Raw genomic sequence first — 17,000 nt, 5'->3', positions numbered from 1 at the left:
GTAAGAGGAAGTCAGTTATGCATTTTTCTTGCACTTGGTAAATCTTTTTTTTTTTCTTTTGAGACAGGGTCTCACTCAGTCACCCAGAATCAAGTGCTGTGGTGCAATCTCAGCTCACTGCAACCTCCACCCCCCGGGTTCAAGCAGTTCTCATGCCTCAGCCTCCCGAGTAGCTGGAATTACAGGCGTGTACCACCTGTGTAATGCCTGGCTAATTTTTGTATTTTTAGTAGAGATGGGGTTTCACCATGTTGGCCAGGTTGGTCTCAAACTCCTGACCTCAGGTGATCCACCCACCCCAGCCTCCCAAAGAGCTGAGATTACAGTCATGAGCCACCTCACCTGGCTACATTTTTTATTTTGTTGTAGAGATGGGGTCTCACTATGTTGCCCAGGCTGGTCTTGAACTCCTGGGCTCAAACCGTCCTCCTGTCTTGGCCTCTCAAAGTGCTAGGATTACAGGCATGAGCTACCGCAGTCAGTCAGTATCATTAAAAAATGCATATACAGTGGTAGGTTTGGAACTGGCCCCTAGAAGCCATTTTCCATCCTCTGCCTCCTTGGGCCCTGCCTGCATCTGAGCCAGGACAGACAAATGTGGGTGCCCTTTGTCTTCAGCGTATTTAAACACCGAGTGTGTCTTGTCCATCGTTGTAGAATGCGTTTCTCAGGAAGCTCTTTCTCTTGTCCCGGTGTCCTTTCAGCGTGTTTCCCTGGGTTGCCCTTGGACAGCCCCGTGCGCTTCTCCCTTCTCTCTCCGCCTGCGATTTAGCAGAGTCACGAAGATCACAGAACCCCCACAACCCTGGCCCCGTCACAGAAACACACCCAAAAGGGTTTCTGCTGCATGCGGTTTGTGAAAGGCCGCCCAGACCAGGCACCTCTTCCATGGGGAAGGAGAGAGCTCCTGTCTCTGAGCAGGGGTGATGTGGCCCTCGGAGGGGCCTGGCCTGGGGGACCCATGGCACAGAATTCCGCCTCAGATGGCACTCGCCACCCTGCAAGGGAGCATGCAGTGCCCGGGGAAGAGTCCTGGATGGGCCAAGTCCACTTCATAGCCCAGGCGGGGATGGCCACCAAAGCGGCTCTTGGGATCTGAGTGGATGAGGGAGTTTTCTGTAGTTCAGGGCTCAGATGCAGTGAGTCCCAGGAGAGTGGGGGCCTTGGGTCATTTGCCGTTGTCCTCGTCATTGTTCCATCTTTTAAAGGCACCTGTGGCACCTGAGCATCTGCCCTCGTCCCCAGTCCTAGGTTCTCAACTGTGGCATTGGGAGGTGATCTGCAGGGTACTGCATAGCCATCCAAAGACCCCAGAGCTGAGGTGCCCTCCACCGGGCCTGGGGTCCTGTGCTCCTGTGCTGTGGGGAAAGAGAGAGTGATGGCCTGATGGTGAGACTGATGTGGGGGGACACGCCTGCCATGAGCACCATCACACAGGCCCAGAGGACACGTGCTATCCAGGACTGGCACCATGGGATTCACCTAACCCTGTCTGCAGAGCAGCGCCAGATCCGCCAGCCCGCAATCCGCAGCTGGAGGGGCCTGGAGGGTTCGTGTTCTGCAGCCCAGAGAGGCACAATGGCTGTCCCATGCAGCAGACGGGGACAGAGCTGAGACGAGAGCCACGTCTCCTGATCTCCACACACCAGGACAGGACCTCAGACCTGGCAGCCAGGGGCTCAGCCTCATTAGAGAGAAGCCGGGCCCTCCCATGGGGTCGCCATCCTACCCAGGGTTATTTAGCCTGAGGAAAATCCCCACAGAGACCTCTCCTGATGTGACGCCATCCTTGTCCTCCTCTTCCTTCTCTTCTCCTCCTCTGCTTCCTCTTCCTTCCTCCCCCTCGTCTTTCTCGTCCTCATCCTCCTTTTTCCTTCCCCACCTCCTCCTCTTCCTCTTCTTTCTCCTCCTCTTCCTCGGCTTCCTGTTTCTCCTCTTCCCTTCCTCCCATCCCCATCCCCAGGGCTCTCATCCCTGCCCAGGATGGCTCCCACTGACTCCACCCACTCAGGCAGAGGTGAAGCACCAAGTCAATCTATACGTCCTTTCTGGCTTCCTTCTAGGCCCCAGCCCCACCATGCCGGCCTGTCCCTTATTCTGGCCCACTTCTGGTCTGTAGCCGGCATACTCTCCCAGGAGCTCCCTGGCACTTTGACGGTGAACATCTCTCCAGGTCTGAATCTCCCTTTTGACTCTTGCTCAATAGGACATGTGTCACCCCCTCTTCTCAGGGATGTGTTTTTCCCCTGGCTTATCGCAGTGGCTCGCATCATCCACTTTGGCCTCTTTGAAGCCAAGCTGAGATGATTCAAGTGCACTCAAGTCAGCGCTCATTTTTTCTGGTCCTCCACCAGTCTGTTTTGAGCCCCGTCTCTCACTTTCCTTTTTCGCAAGCTGCTTCCTTAAGTGCTAAGTTTTGTGTCTCTTTATTCCCTCAGAAGGGGTGTGACCTGCCCCGGCCCCAGTCTTGAGCTCCAGCTCCAGACCACATGGGCGGATAGCCCCAACATGGGGCCATCGGGGCCTCCTCAGTACCCCAGGAGAGCATTTGCTTCCACCTGATTGTGGCACTTGTGTCTCCGTTTCACCATCCACCTCGTCATCAGTAAACCTGTGTCCTCAGATGGGCCCTTCTGCCCCCAGGCTTGCTATTTGCATATCCACTCCTTTCCCTCTGAAGGAAGAACAGTCATCCAAACTTGACAACTCCCAGCCCTTCCCACTGCTTCAGAGAGAAAGGTGCCTTGGAAGCTCCACCGTGCCCGAGACACTGTCTTGTTTTCAGCTTGGTCTTGCCGTCTCCCCGGGAAGCGTTCTCCCTTTCTTACCACATAACACATGCTTCAGCACCCCAGATGTGTCTTCTTTCCTCGTCCTGATCAAAGCGGTGTGGCAGCCTCAACTCCCTCCAGGCTCGATGCCTGGATGTCTTTGGTGACTGTAAATTTAAAGAACGTACTATTTGAAAGTGCACAAATCATGAGTGTGCTCTTGTAAATTTTCACTAACTGTGACACCAGGGAATGAGCCCTCTGATCAAGAAATAGAACATTTCCAGCACCAGAGAGGTCACTTTCACGTCTCCTGCAAGTGACAGCCCCTCCCCGCCTCCCTCAAGTACTGACTCCAACACAAGAGGTTCATCTTGCCTGGTTTTGAGCTTCATATAAATGGAACCGTACAGCTGGTGCTCTTTTCACAAAGCCTGGCTTCTTTGGATCCACATTGGGTTTGTGAGATTCGTCTGTGTTGGATGTCACAGTAGTTCACATTTCCATGGAATATTCTGTATGACGATACCGTGATTTATTTATCTCTTCTAGTATTGATGGGCATGGGGGTTATTTTCGGTTTGACACTATTATGGATAATGCTTTCTTATGTGCCTTTTGATAACCATATAGACACATTTCTATTAGGTATATACCTAGGAATTGCTGGATTGGCAAGCAGACATACCATGGGCTTAGGGAGGTACTGTCCAAAGTGCTTGTGCCAGCTTCCACTCCCGTCAGCATTGTGGGAGAGTTCCAGTTGCTCCACGTCCTCACCAACACTTGGTATCATCAGTCTTTGATTTTAGCCATTCTGATTAGGGGTACAGTAGTATCATCTTGTGGTTTTAATATGCATTTCCCTAAAGACTAATGAAGTTGAACAACTTTTCATAGCTTAGTGGCCTTTTGGATATCCTCTTTTGTGACGAGTCTGTTCAAGTCTCATTTTCCCATTGAGTTTTTGGTGTTTTTCTTATTGATTTGTGGAAGTCCTTTGTATATTCTGAATCTGAGTCTTTCTCAGTTGTATATACTGTCATTATCTTCTCCTACTCTGTGGCATGCCTTATCACTCCCTTAATGATGTCCTTTGATGAACAGACATACTTTATTTTTAATCTAGTCCAGGTAATCAATTTTTCTTTACAGTTAGCATTTTTTTTGTTTTGTGATGCTTTTTCGGGGAATTAGGAGCTCATGGAAACATATCCATGAAGCCGCCTGTTTCTGAGTGATGATTGTTCCGCATTCCCAGTAAGCGGATGCTGAGCATGATCCACCTGGAATCGAGAGGTGTTTTTTCTTAATTCTTGACAGGGTCTTGGAAACCAGCTAGTCCAGCCTGTTTGTGCTTTGTAAAAGCAAAGTTTCCTAGCCATCCTGCCAGCCCTCCCGACCTGCCAGAATCCAAGGGGCTTCTGCGGCAGCCAGGCCAGCGGTGGTCTGCAGCCTGGAGCTGGGAACCACTAATCTTACTGTATTGGGCAGCACCCTTTGGGTGGCATGTGGTAGGAACCCAGGTCAAAGGCACCAAAATGAGCAAAGGAACTTCACTGGCCTCTGTATCCAGACCAAGACCAGGGTCAGCAAGATCTCTGCAGTCTTTGTTTGAGGTCAGCCATGCTGTTTTGGTCTCTTCCAAGTGGCAGAGACACGGCCACCACATCGCCTGGGCATTGCATCCCAGCCAGTTATGATCCAGAGGGAAGCTCTGATTGGCCCAGACAGGGCCAGTGGCAGGGAGGTGGGGCTGAGGGGTGCTGTGAGTGGCAGCCCTAACAGAACCCCACGTGGAGTTGGGGAGCAACAGCACACCTAAGGAAAGGGGTCACTCTTCCCACGAGATGCTGAGCCAGGAGAACCACAGGGGCTGGCCATGTGGCTGCCTTCCCAAGCACAGTTTTCTTTGTTTTTTTGTTTTTTTTTTTTTTAAAAAGGAGTCTCATTCTGTCACCCAGACTGGAGTGCAGTGGCGCAATCTTGTCTCACTGCAAGCTCTGCCTCCTGGGTTCATGCCATTCTCCCCTGCCTCAGCCTCCCGAGTAGTTGGGACTACAGGCGCCCACGACCACACCCGGCTAATTTTTTGTATTTTTAGTAGAGACGGGGTTTCACCATGTTAGCCAGGATGGTCTCAATCTCCTGACCCCGTGATCCGCCCGCCTTGGCCTCCCAAAGTGCTGGGATTACAGGCGTGAGCCACCGCACCCAGCCCCAAGCACAGTTTTCTTAAAAGAGAAATGCAGACGGGGATCATCACTATCTCCTCCTAATCCCTGTGAGACTGAGTGACGAAGCATATGGAAAGTGCTTAGGAGACAGCCTGGCACCTAGTAACTTGTGCACTCAGTACCAGAAGCAACTAGTAGATAACTGTGAGGAGCCGAGGAGCTCCCGGGGTGGGCAGTGGCTGGTCACAGAGCCAGGCTTGGCCCAACTGCTCCCTCGGGCTCAGCTCCTGGAACGCAGGTGTTCTGGGGTTGACTCACTTTCTCCTGTTTCTAGAGAAGAGTAAGAGAGAAAGTTATAGAGTCATTCAGATGAATACTCAAGGCCGGGCGCGGTGGCTCATGCCAGTAATCCCACACTTTGGGAGGCCAAGGCAGGCAGATCACTTGAGCCCAGGAGTGCAAGACCAGCCTGAGCAACATGGTGAAACCCTTGCCGCCCTACAAAAAAAGAGAAATATAATTAACTGAGCATGGTGGCATGCGCCTGTGGTCTCAGCTACTCAGGAGGCTGAGGCGAGAGGGAGGCTTAAGCAGAGGTTGCAGTGAGCTGAGATCGTGCCACTGCACTCCAGCCTGGGTGACAGAGTGAGACCCTGTCTCAAAAAAAAGAAAAAGAAAAAAATGAATACTCAAACCCCAGCACTCTCCCGTCTTCTGTCCCCCAACCCACCCAGCAACTAGCTCTTGTCCAGTTCTGTGCAGTCAGGACTCTGGACGGCACATGGCAGAAAACCAATTCTCACCCTTACAGGAAGAAAAACAAAGGTATCAATACTATTCAGTGTGCCGATCTATATCCGGAAAATACATTCTATACTTTTTTAAAAAAAGAAAAATAAAGGTAGTGTGCAGGCAGAGGCGAGGATGGGCTCATTTAAAACTAGAAGTTCAAGGCTCAGGCCACCTCCTGTCCTCAAGTCCTCCTCTCCCCCGCCACAGCTGGCTCTTCCTCCTCCATCTGCCCCATTAGTGGACAGGCCACCCGCTTTGTGGCCAGGTGGCTCGCTCCGGCCCTCTCGGCACCCCAGCCTTCAGCACCTGTCCTGGGCTCATGTCCCATGGGACCCATCAGTGTGGCCAGAGTGCGCTGGTGCTGATTGCCCTGAAAAGGGTCGGGTGCCCACCCTCAGACACAGGAGCAGGTGTCATGGGCCGTCATGGTTCTGGAACCAGAATCCAAGGCCATGGACATCAGGAGGCAGAGCCAACAATGGTGTGGACCTGGTGGTCTGGGTTTAAATGCTCACAGAGGAGGAGTGTGAAGTAGGCCCTACCAAGGGCCACCATGGGGGTAACTGAAGGAGTGACTTTTTCACCTCCAAGCAGCCAACTCCTTCCTTCCTGCAGGAAAGTGGGAGGGTGAAGCTGTATATGTGACCCAGTGACCCTCCAGATCCACAGTGGGAGCAGGCAGTGAGGAGGTGGTGGCCAGGTATGGCCTCCAGCTGATTCCTCCTTTGTGGCCTCCTTCCGCCAACAGCACTATTTCTGGAAGCATCCATGCAGGCAGAGCGGATGGGTCTTCTACCCTTTGTCGCGTGTGGAATTGGGACGCAGGCCCAGCACCTCATACCAGGGCCCGCTTGGGGCCCTGTCTCCATACATGTGACCCAGGCCTGGGTAGCCGCAGGGCCAAAACTGATCAGAGTCCCAGAGAGTCTCAGTCAGGGAGAAGCCAGGAGGGACCTTATGGGCCAGTTGGGTTCTTTCATACAGAAAGAAACTGAGGCTTTGATTTCTCCTGTAAATATTTACTGCCTGCTGCCTTTGTACGGAGGAGGGCCTGGGCCAGGCCAACATGGGCCCAGCCTCCACAGACCGGGGAGAAGGTATTTCAGGGAGATGGGAACATCTTATAGGGGCTGGACAAGAGCACTGGGGAGTTCATAAGGAGAGAGCTCCCTGGCTGGGGAACAGGGGTCAAAGATTCACTCACTCCACACAGAGGGGCATTCCGCAAATATTCCTGAGTGCCTGGGATGTGCCAGGCCCCATGCCAGCTGTGGCATGGCTCACGCCTCCCCCGGGGCTGCAGCCTCATGGGAGGGGCCCACAGGGACAAGTAACAAAGAAACAGGTGACCTGGTCTTGTGATCCATGCTCTGAAGAAAACACTGGGGGAGGTGGAGGGGGGTCCTCAGGTCAGGCCTGTGAGAAGGGGGGTGCCCCACAGCGTCAGTAGAGCCAGGAAGCTGTGACCTGGATCTGAGGTTTTCTGAAAGCATAAAAGTGCCCTAGTTTTCCCCTCTCCTCAGGCTCCGCTGAAGCTATGCCAAGAATTGGCTTTTAAAGGCTGCCTGAAATGTGGTTTGGAGCCAAAAATCTATAGAGCCAGCGCATTTGTGACCTTGTTGAAAATGCTTACTGAGGAAAAACAAGGGGGTGGGATTTGGGATTTTCTTTTTCCCTTGTAAAATTTAAAAATACATGTATCTGTCTGGTCTGTCCCCACCCCTTCTCTATCCCGCCTGCAGGCCCTCACCTTGGCCCGACAGCCCCGACTCCACCGCATACGCGTCTTCCATTAGCCCACACCTCCCCCATTCCCAATCCCTGGCCATCTCCCATGCATCAGTAATGAAAAATACCAAGTGGGTAAAAATAAGGAGCCCGGTTATAGCCCTGGAAATTAGGCCACAGCTGTCAGGCCGGGCAAGAGCGCTCGCCTCTCTGAGAATGGAACCGCCGGGAGCAAGAGCTCGGCCCCCTCCCTGCAAGGGTAGATCAGAGTTTCACCCAGGGGGCGGCAGGGCGCTGCTGCTGTGCTGGGCAGGCAGGGGAGCCAGGAAGCGCCATGTATCACTGAGCAACCCTGTCCTGGGTGTCCGTCAGTGCCTGGCACAGTGCCCACCAGTGGGAACACCGCAGTGGGCAGAGCTAGTCCCTGCCCGCCAGGGTTAGTCACGATTGCAAGCATAGCATCGCACAGTGGTGATCCTTGGTGAAACAGATGTGGGGGAGGGGGTGCCCAGCCTGTTGGGGGAGTCTGGGAAAGCTTCTGAAACGTGACATCTAAGCTGAGCCAGGAAAGATGAGTAGGAACTGGTCGGGGAAGGAGTGGGGGAGGTGTTTCTGACACAGCAAGCAGTCTGCTCAGAAGCCCAGAGACCAGTCCCCACACCCTCTGGGCAACCTGGAGTGTGGCTGGGAGGCCCCTGGTGGCCTTACCTCTGAGGTACCCTGTGAGCCAGTGGAGGGCTGAAGCAGGTTCAGAAAACCTCCTACCGCTGTGTGAGGGTGCCCAAGTCCCTGAGAGGAGCCTTCAGATAGGCAGTGGGCATGTGCCAGGCTGTGCCTGAGGTGGCTGGCTCACAGAGCTTCCAGTGGGACGGAGGGAAGTGGGGCCCAGGGCTCGCCAGTGGGGGCAGGTGGTGAGACCCTCACTTGTTCACCATGACAGCTGTGGCCCTACACACTCTCCTCTGCCATTAGTCTCGTGAAACACCGCAGGCTAGTTAGGAAGCCGGCTCAGGAAGCTGGCTTGACCAGGGTTCTTGCTGCTGTGTCATTCTGGAAGGTTCAGTGCTGCTAGGACAGGCAGTTTAAGCAGATAATCTGGACTAAGTTTAAAACCATCTCGACACCGCAGACATCCCTGCCATGGACTTGTTTGGCTCTTCAGGGTACGCTGGCTTCAGTCAGCTAATGCCAGGTGCCTGTGAACTCGGCCAGCTTTCCTTGTCCACTCATTTTTCCTGAGAAGAGTCAGCTTTTTCCTTCCTCTCCCATGAGCTGAGCCCCTCCTTCCAGCCCTTTTCCTGAAGAAGACCCCCACCTACCTCTGTTGGAAGCCCCCTGCCCCCACAGTTGACAGGTTCCTGGAGTCACCTCCATTCCTGCCCTTGAAGCGTGAGCGGCTGTCCCGGTCCAGTTCCTTCTGCTTCTCCTGGGCCCCCCAGTAGCATAGTAATTGGTTTCTCAGATCTTCAGCTGCGTGCCCCGTCTGTGAATATTTCCCAGTCCCTGACCCTCGCGGGAAGACCCATCTATGATCTTACCCCTGTGGGGATCCTCAGGGGAGAGAGATGATGGAGAGATGACTGATCCTTCCAGTCTCTTCTCTCATTCCTGCCAGTGATGCCTAAAATAGAGAGCAAAATTGCCACCTCTCTGCCCCAGCCCCCTCCCCGACCCCCGCAGCCCAAGGTCGCAGGCCCCCAGGATGGGCCCTGGGCCTGGTAAGCAAGCAGGCCACAGGAGAGGGGCGCTGGAGCAGCTGCCGAGTGCCCTGTTTCCAGCAGCTGCAGAGATTTGTATCTGCAGTTACCGCTCCTGGAGGGTCACAGCCTCCGTTTCATTTTTGTGGTGTTTGAAGAAGAGTTCAAGCCTTTCTCCACGTATACACAGGCCCACAGGCCCAGGTTCGGGCTTCCCACAGCCAGCTAATGGGTTTCTAGGAGAGAAAAGATAGCAATCAAATATATGCCCACAGGCTGGGCGTAGTGGCTCACGCCAGAATCCCAGCACTTTAGTAGGCAGAGGTGGGTGGATCACTTGAGCCCAGGAGTTCAAGACCAACCTGGGCAACATGGCAAGACCCCATCTCTACAAAAAAAAAAAAAAACAAAAACAAAGATGCTCCTGAGCAGGAGAGTGGGGAGCCCAGGAGGCAAGTGCTCTGGGTTGATAGAGGGTCCCAGAGGAGCAGACATCTGACTCACAGTGGTGTGGCCTCTGGGGAAGGTGCCTCCCTAAGATTTCATCATCTGTGTCTCCTCAAGCCTGCCCTCTTCCACGTCCATTCCCCTGGCCATTCTTGACTGGGCTCTTCCCTACCCCCAGGGGAAGGACGTCTGGAAAGGCAGCCCGAAACCCTTTGTACTTTAATTGGAAGAAGGTGGGAGCCTGAGGCAAAAGTGATTCAAACAGCACCCAGAATGGTGGTCTTCAGGGCGGAACTGTGGTCAGCGTTTCCATCCTCAGACCCTGCTCTATGCTGGTGGCTGCAGCGCGCCCGTCATAGCCAGGCTGTTCGCGCACGGTAGCTTTTTTGCTCTAAGTGGAGATGGGGGCTTCGTCTCCATTGATAAGACTTTCCTCATCTGCTGGCGATTCTATTTTAGGAGAAAGCCTCCCCCTGTAGTAGGCACTCCTGCCTCAAAGTGGAGCCAGGCCTTTTTTTTCGTGCTTGTATTATGCTAATCACTCCTTGCAAGCAGGCAGACTTTGTAGGAGGTTTGCCTGGTTTTAGATGAAACATACGCCTTTGAAGCAAAGAGCCACCGTAGCTAAAAATACCTTTTCCTGGCTGTTGATCCTCTCATTTGTAAAATGCATGTTTCCATTGTTAAACCTGCAGCAGCCCCTCTAGAGAGGAAAGCTCCACTATCGTGGCCAGGCTGGAGCACCCATGCCCTGGGGAGGTAGCACCTTCCCCAGCCCTGCCCGTGGGCTCCGTCGCCAAGCCTCTCCAAGAAGGAGTCCAAGAGAAGCACACAGAGGATTCTCAATACTTTATTTTCTGTTTAGAAATATTAAACCACATACAATAAAAACTGAAATAATGCAGAATGGTATAGCAGTAAATGGGAAAGACCCCTGACCACCTGCCACCTCCTCCCTCAGAAGTAGCCTCTGGGTCTCAGCTTGGTGTGTTTCCTTCTGCAGCCCTTTCTGTGCATTTATCAGCATGAGGCTCGGTCTGGTGCTGGTTTGGCAGCAGTGGTCTCTGGACTCGGAGAGCTCTGCAGCTTGCCCAGGTCCACCGCCTTCACTGTCTTTGTGCAGAACACATCTCCCTCCGGATCCTGAGCCCGGCTAGACACTGCCTCTACGCTCCCAGCCTGAGCCCAATGGCTCAGGGTCACTGTCCCTCCCCACGGAGGCTGCCATATCCCAGTATTAAATCTGTCCACCCGCCTTTCTCTGTCGGTGGTTACCTCGTGTCTTTGCTCAGAGGGGCAGTGGCGTGATCCTGGTGGGGAGTGGAGGGAGCAGGCCTCTTGCCCACCAGCGCAAGTTCTGCTATAGGGCGCCTCGCCTGTAACCCAGAGCTAGGACTAAGACATGTCCCCTCGGGTGACTTCCAAGGACGCCTCATGTCTGGGGCCCTCTTATTTCTCACGCGTTTAATCCAGGGAAGATTTCCTGGGCTGGCAGGGAACATGTGGATGAAAAGCCTATTTCATCCGTCTTAAAATTCTCTGAAAATGGCTGATCACAAAAGGAATTTTTTCAGCCTCCCGGGAGGGGGTGGGGGAGGGTACAAATAGGAGAACCCCTCCCCTTCCATTTGGCCGAGAATAACTGAAGGAGCCCCCTCCCAGCCATGCTGTGGCCCACCACTACGGCTGTGGCACCTCCATCCTCCCAGTCCTTTGAGACTCTGATCTTTTTACCGGCCTCTCAGAGGCCGCCGTGAGGCTGCTCTGATATTTGCTCTTTGTTACCACTGGTGAGTATTCATGTTTAACTTCTCGTCCTGTTTCCTGACACTTATCTCAGTGCTCTTTAAGTGGGCACTTATAAAGCCTAGAGAAAGCCATCTCAGTTCATAAAATTTCACAAAACCCCTGGACTAAAGATGTGAAGACAAGAAAGGCACTCATGGCTCTAGCTCCTAATCACAGCCAGAAAGGCAGGAATGGCCCGTGCCCAGGGCAGCAGCTGTGAGCTGTGCTTCCTCTTGGGGTGCTGGGGCTATGCAGGTGGGCCAGGCCACATGGCTGTCAGGAGGCCAGGGAGAGTCCAAGCACAGGTCTTGCCCAAGAGCTGACCTCTTTATCTTTCTGTTTGAACAGAGGAGGCCAGGGCTGTGCACAGCAGGCTCGGGACCGTGAAGGTAGAGACCAGCAGGGAAACAGTGAAATGCCAAGCAGAAACGTAAACCAGGACCCAGACTCTGCACAGGTGGGGGTGGGGCCTCAAGAAGGCAAGTGTCAGGGCCTTCCGCCTAGAGCTCCAAGGCCGAGCCAGGCCCTGCTGCCACCCATCCTCTCAGACTCCTGCCAGAGTCTCCTCCTTCCCTCAGGAGGGCATGGCCATGCCTGAAGCGATCAGGCCTGGTGAGGCAGTTGCAGGCAGCAGGTCTCTGGCCGCCCCGGAAGCTTGTTGAGAGTACAGATCGTGGACCTCCTGGAGGTGAGGCCCGCACGTGGTCCATGCATACAGCCAGGCTCTGGGGTTCCTCAGTTAGGGTATTCCTGGCTTGAGGGACCCTCTTTGTTCTAGAGGGTAAATGCGCAGCCTTCTGGGTGGATGAGGACACTGATGGGACAGGGGCTGGCGGCTCCCCGCTGAGGGACGTGGAGCTGAAGCCATGCGCATGGCGCCCAGGGCAGAGCACTCGAGGTGCCCCCAGAAACCAGAATGGCAGCCCCTGGCCGGAACTCCTTCAGAGCGCAGGAGGTCCTTTGAAGGAAAGTTGCCACGGGAACACGAGAGACTAGTGAATCACTGTAATCACCCAGGGCCCATGACCAGGAGGACAGCCCATCTGGTTAAATAATTTGGGGGAGGGAAATGTTGACACGGGGCTATGGCCATATGAACACTGGGGCTGCTGGACCCAAGTTGGGTCCGTGGCTTCAAGGCCAGAGGGGCCGAGTGTGGGCCCTGCCGAGGCCTCCGTGTCTTGGTCCAGCACCGACGAGGCAGAAGGGGAGGCTCACCATCTGTAAACTGTGGAATACGCAGCAGCTGGAGTGCTCCCTGGCCTGGAACAAAGGGACTAGTTTGGGAATCGTCGCCTGAAGTAAAGGAAAACAAACAGCTTGGTGATCAGAACACGGGCAAGGGGCGTCGCCAGACATTGTTGGGGCCGGAGTAGCTCTGGCCACCTTACTCGGGTCCCAGCACTGCTGTCCCTCACCCGCCTCATTCCTCACAAGTCCCCCTGCGGTTTGCAGGGGAAAATGGCAGAGATGCAGGGATGCCTTTCCATTACCCGTCCCAAGACAGACTCAATCTCCGAGGACCCTGTGTGAGGTCACATGCCACAGGGTGAAGGGGTGTCTCTGCCCTGGGCATACAAGCTGCAGGGAATGGGTGGGAAGGGGAGCCAGCCAGGGAAGGGAGGTCTGTGTCCCTTGCAGATGCCACAGAGCATGGGAACATGTTCATGGGAACATGAGTGCCAGGTCAGAAACCCAAGTTCTGGCCCCTCTGTGGCCCTGGCTGTGTGGCCTGGGACCAGTCCTTGGCTTCAGTTCCTTCCTGTCCCATGCGGGTGGCAGGGGCGTGCAAGGGCAGGCAGGGCCAGGAAGCAGCGTGCCAGGCGGTGGCGGCCTCCTCGTGGGCAGGGCTGGCCTCCACGGGGGCAGCTGAGCACATCCTCAGGAGGAAATCCTGCTTAGAGGGTTCAAGCCCAGAGGGCTTCAAAGGGAGAGAAAGGTTACAGCTGCAGTTCTCCAGCAGAGCCCAGGAGGCCCCAGGGCAGGTAGGGTTCAGGGATGCCATTTCCCTGGCCATTTCCCTGGCAGTGTCAGCCAGGGAATGTATCAGCCAGTTCAGAGCACCAGCCTTGGCCATGTCTCCCTGGGCACCAGGAATCTTTATATTAAAATCTCCCCAGCCTGGACCTCAGGCAGTAGCTGGCCTGACTCCCATACTCAGGAGCTGCTGCTCCCAACTGGTTTCCGGGAACCTGCTGTTGGAGTCAGCCCCGTGGACTTTCTCCGCTGGGTCAGAGTTTGGGTCCAGGCTACAGAACTATGGCTGCAGTTTCAAGGCCCTGCTTCCCTCTCGTACCCTTGGAGACAAACCATTGCCCTAGGAGGGTAGAACTAAGTGTGGATCACAGGCCAACACCATCCCAGCCAGGTGTGGTCAGTGCCATCCACCCACAGAGGTGGCTCCAGCGGGAGAGTGGGGTAAAAGGAGCTGGCTACAGATATGCTGCCCCGGAGCCACAGGAAGCTTCTGGAGAAACTCGCTCCAGTCCACACCAGAAGGCCCCAGTGATCTCTGCAGCTCAGGAGGTCCAAACTGTCTTCCCGGAAAAGTGTGTCTAAGGCTCTGTGCTGTGTAGGCCCTGGAGCTTGTTGGGGGACAAAGGGGTGGGTGGGCAGCAGTGAGTACTTGGTGCTGGGGTTAGGCTGACCAAGGGGGTCTTTGGCAAGGCCTCTCATCTGTGCCGCACATGGCATTCTCTGCTAGAAAGGGCTCTGGGCTGAAATCACAAGTGGCCCATGCTGAGGAGTTGAATGTACACGATGTTCCTAATGTACTGTCATTTGTGGCCAGGATTAGGAAGGAAATGGTGATTCCAGCTTGGAGGAAATCCCTGTGGCAAGAGAGGGCAGGAGCCCAGCAGGGACCCAAGGGCTTGGGCACTTCTCAGCACTTCTTGGAGTTGATTATCATGGAGACAACAGGATTTCCTTTAGTGACCAGTCCCTTTGTTTTCATTTGCACTGAGGATTCAGCATGCAAGAAGGTCCCTGCGGCCGTGCCAAGGCTTCATGGCCGGGGGACAATGGTCTCCAGGCAGGGGCCAGACCGGCCGCACTCTTGCCCCTCCTCCCCGCACCCAGCTGTCTCCTCACCCCGGCCTTGCCCTCCTCACACTGCGTTTTTCTCCAACACCAAGACACTATCTCAGCAGATACCCCATCGGTCCTTCCTGCTATCTCAGCTTCAGAGCCTCCAGCACAGGGTTACACGCCTGTCCCCAGCCCTCGCCATCTGACCTGCATCCAGCCGTATTCTGGGGTGTGTCTATGTGGGATAGAAGGCGCAGCCTCTTTTCTAAGACACAAACGCAGACCTCATTGTGAGTCAAACACCTGCTGAGTTCCCTCACAGGGACTCCTTGCAGAATGCGAAATGCTTCCGCCAGAGCCAGACACCCGCCAAGAACCCTGATAACACAGTTCAGAACCCACCTGACTCTGAAGCCCCTTGGCCTGCAGTTCCATGTGCATGCCCAGCCCCACGGCCAAAGTAACCCAGGCCACCTTGTCCCTTCCTGGAAGTTAATTTTCTGTCCTACAAGCATTCATCTCCCCCATTGCCTGTAGGGGCCCAGCCCTAGGCCTTGTGGTGTAAGCTGAAAAGGAACCAGGGCTCAGGGAGGGCCCAGGGGCCAAGTACCACCTTAGGAAGGAAATTGGTGGGAACTAGCAGCAGGTGAGGCAGGAGACAGGGGAGGGCTGTCCTGGGAAAGAACAGGGGGCTTGAGTACCTGTGAATGGACACAGGGGACGGGGTGGTCAGACTGAAAAGACACATGGAAAATAAGGCCAAGGCAGGTGCGGTGGCTCACGCCTGTCATCCCAGCACTTTGGAAGGCCAAAGCGGCAGATCACCTGAGGTCAGGAGTTCAAGACCAGCCTGGCCAACATGGTGAAACCCAGTCTCTACTAAAAATACAAAAATTAGCCAGGTGTGGTGACGGGCGCCTGTAATCCCAGCTACTCAGGAGGCTGAGGCAGGAGAATCACTTGAACCCAGGAGGCAGAGGTTGCAGCGAGCCAAGATCACACCACTGCACTGGATGACAGAGCGAGACTCCATCTTGAAAAAAAAAAAAAGAAAAAAGGCCAAGCCAGCCCGATGGGCCAAGGTAGAAGATGACTTCCATTCTGAGGAGAAGGCAGAGCCCCTCCCGTGGCAGCAAGGGTCATCTGACTCCACCCTGGGCAGTTCAGAAAGCGGGAGTCAACTTGCTCTCTAGAGCAAGCCCCAAACTTAGGGTGAGGGACCTGCTAATCCTGGGGGGCTGAGGCTTCAGCTGCCTCTGTGAGACTGTTTCGTTTTCTGTGGCAGCTCCCACCCAGATGAGACCTTCTATGGAGGTCTCTAGATGAGCCCAGCACAGGTGTCTGGGACCTCCCAGAGCCCGATGGCACCTCCTCTTGCACAGAGGGACAGATGGCTAAGAGGACTGAAGGCCTCTTCCTGTGCCCCTCCTCCCTCCATCCCCTTTCCACCAGCTCCCTACAAAGCCCAGAAAAACAAGTTCCGCATCCTCCTCCTCCTCCCACCCCACTCCCTGCAAGAAACTTTTAAGTGTACCAGACACATCGACTGCATTAAACAACGATGAATTTTTAAGGCATGAGTTGGCAGGGTTACCATGGCTGCCTTTGCCCTGAGGGGCACACTGCCGAGGATTGATTGAAATAAATAAAACAGATTTACAGTTTTCATACTTGGAAGCAGAGAGTTGGAAGGGAAGAGAGCAGAGGGGGAGGGGCAGGATGCAGTGAGATTCTGGAGCGTTCTGGACTAGAGATGGGAGGCTACTCCCTCCTCTCCCTATCCTAAGGTTATACTGACCCAAAAGCTGCTTTCTCTTTAAATTCCTAAAGGATCCCAGCTGTGGGGCAGGAACAAGGCAGGGAGGAGGCCCTTTTCCGGTGGGAGCGGTCCAGGCCTTCTCTGTAGTTTGTAGCCTTGATATTAGGTTGCACCTCAGATTTATTGGCCGTGAGACTCCAGGTGTCTCCTAGGAAAGTACTGGGGTCCATTGGCCTTGGACCACTGAAGGGGATGGATGTGGGCACCATCCAGCATCCAATGTAGAAAGGAAACAAGGGCTATCCAGGCGTGGTGGTTCACACCTGTAATCCCAGCACTTAGGGAGGCCGAGGCGGGTGGATCACTTGAGGTCAGGAGTTCAAGACCAGCCTGGTCAACATGTCGCTACTAAAAATAGAAAAATGTGCCTAGTATCGTGGCACATGCCTGTAATCCCAGCCACCAAGGCAAGAGAATCGCTTGAACCCGGGAGGCAGAGGTTGCAGTGAGCTAAGATCGCACCATGGCACTCCAGCCTGGGTGACAGAGCAAGATTCCGTCTCAAAAAAGAAAATAAACAAGGGCTCGCCCCTCTGTGCATGGTCAGTGAGCCACAGGCAGCTGGGGATGGAAATGAAGGAAGGAGGCCTGGCCATAGGGAGAAGGGAGGGGCCTCTGAGCCAGGATGCCCTGCCCTCAGCAGGCACCTGAAGCCTGTTGCCCTCCTGCTGGTTTGCCCAGTCCTAAGGCGACTTGCAGAGAGACCGGTGGAGTCCACCCAGCCCACACTGTCCTCAGAATCAGCATCCAG

At 54.6% G+C, this 17,000-nt stretch overlaps 1 protein-coding gene across 4 annotated transcripts in view, besides 2 other annotated features; it reads left to right on the top strand.

The window, feature by feature from the left end:
- VAC14 (VAC14 component of PIKFYVE complex) overlaps positions 1 to 17,000 on the top strand; it is a 113,720-nt gene that overhangs the window by 77,877 nt on the left and 18,843 nt on the right. Inside the window, exon 15 of one of the 4 annotated variants that reach the window (XM_011523225.4) lies at positions 2,439 to 16,098. The exons of the other annotated variants lie outside the window; for them this stretch is intronic. Coding sequence (XP_011521527.1) covers positions 2,439 to 2,562 — 124 coding nt within the window. The 3' untranslated portion in view covers positions 2,563 to 16,098. Of the gene's footprint in view, positions 1 to 2,438; positions 16,099 to 17,000 lie in introns of those variants that run through there. 4 annotated transcript variants of the gene reach the window in all.
- Positions 6,045 to 6,762: an enhancer, noted in NCBI's record as "H3K27ac-H3K4me1 hESC enhancer chr16:70750423-70751140 (GRCh37/hg19 assembly coordinates)". NCBI's record gives its function as "activates a minimal SCP1, AML or CMV promoter by ChIP-STARR-seq in naive H9 embryonic stem cells {active_cell/tissue: H9 hESC(naive)}" and the evidence as "EXISTENCE:reporter gene assay evidence [ECO:0000049][PMID:30033119]".
- Positions 8,203 to 8,922: an enhancer, noted in NCBI's record as "H3K27ac-H3K4me1 hESC enhancer chr16:70748263-70748982 (GRCh37/hg19 assembly coordinates)". NCBI's record gives its function as "activates a minimal SCP1, AML or CMV promoter by ChIP-STARR-seq in naive H9 embryonic stem cells {active_cell/tissue: H9 hESC(naive)}" and the evidence as "EXISTENCE:reporter gene assay evidence [ECO:0000049][PMID:30033119]".

Source organism: Homo sapiens, chromosome 16 (genome assembly GCF_000001405.40).
Source record: "Homo sapiens chromosome 16, GRCh38.p14 Primary Assembly".
Lineage (NCBI taxonomy): Eukaryota > Metazoa > Chordata > Mammalia > Primates > Hominidae > Homo > Homo sapiens.
This window is presented reverse-complemented; position numbering and strand designations above follow the sequence as displayed.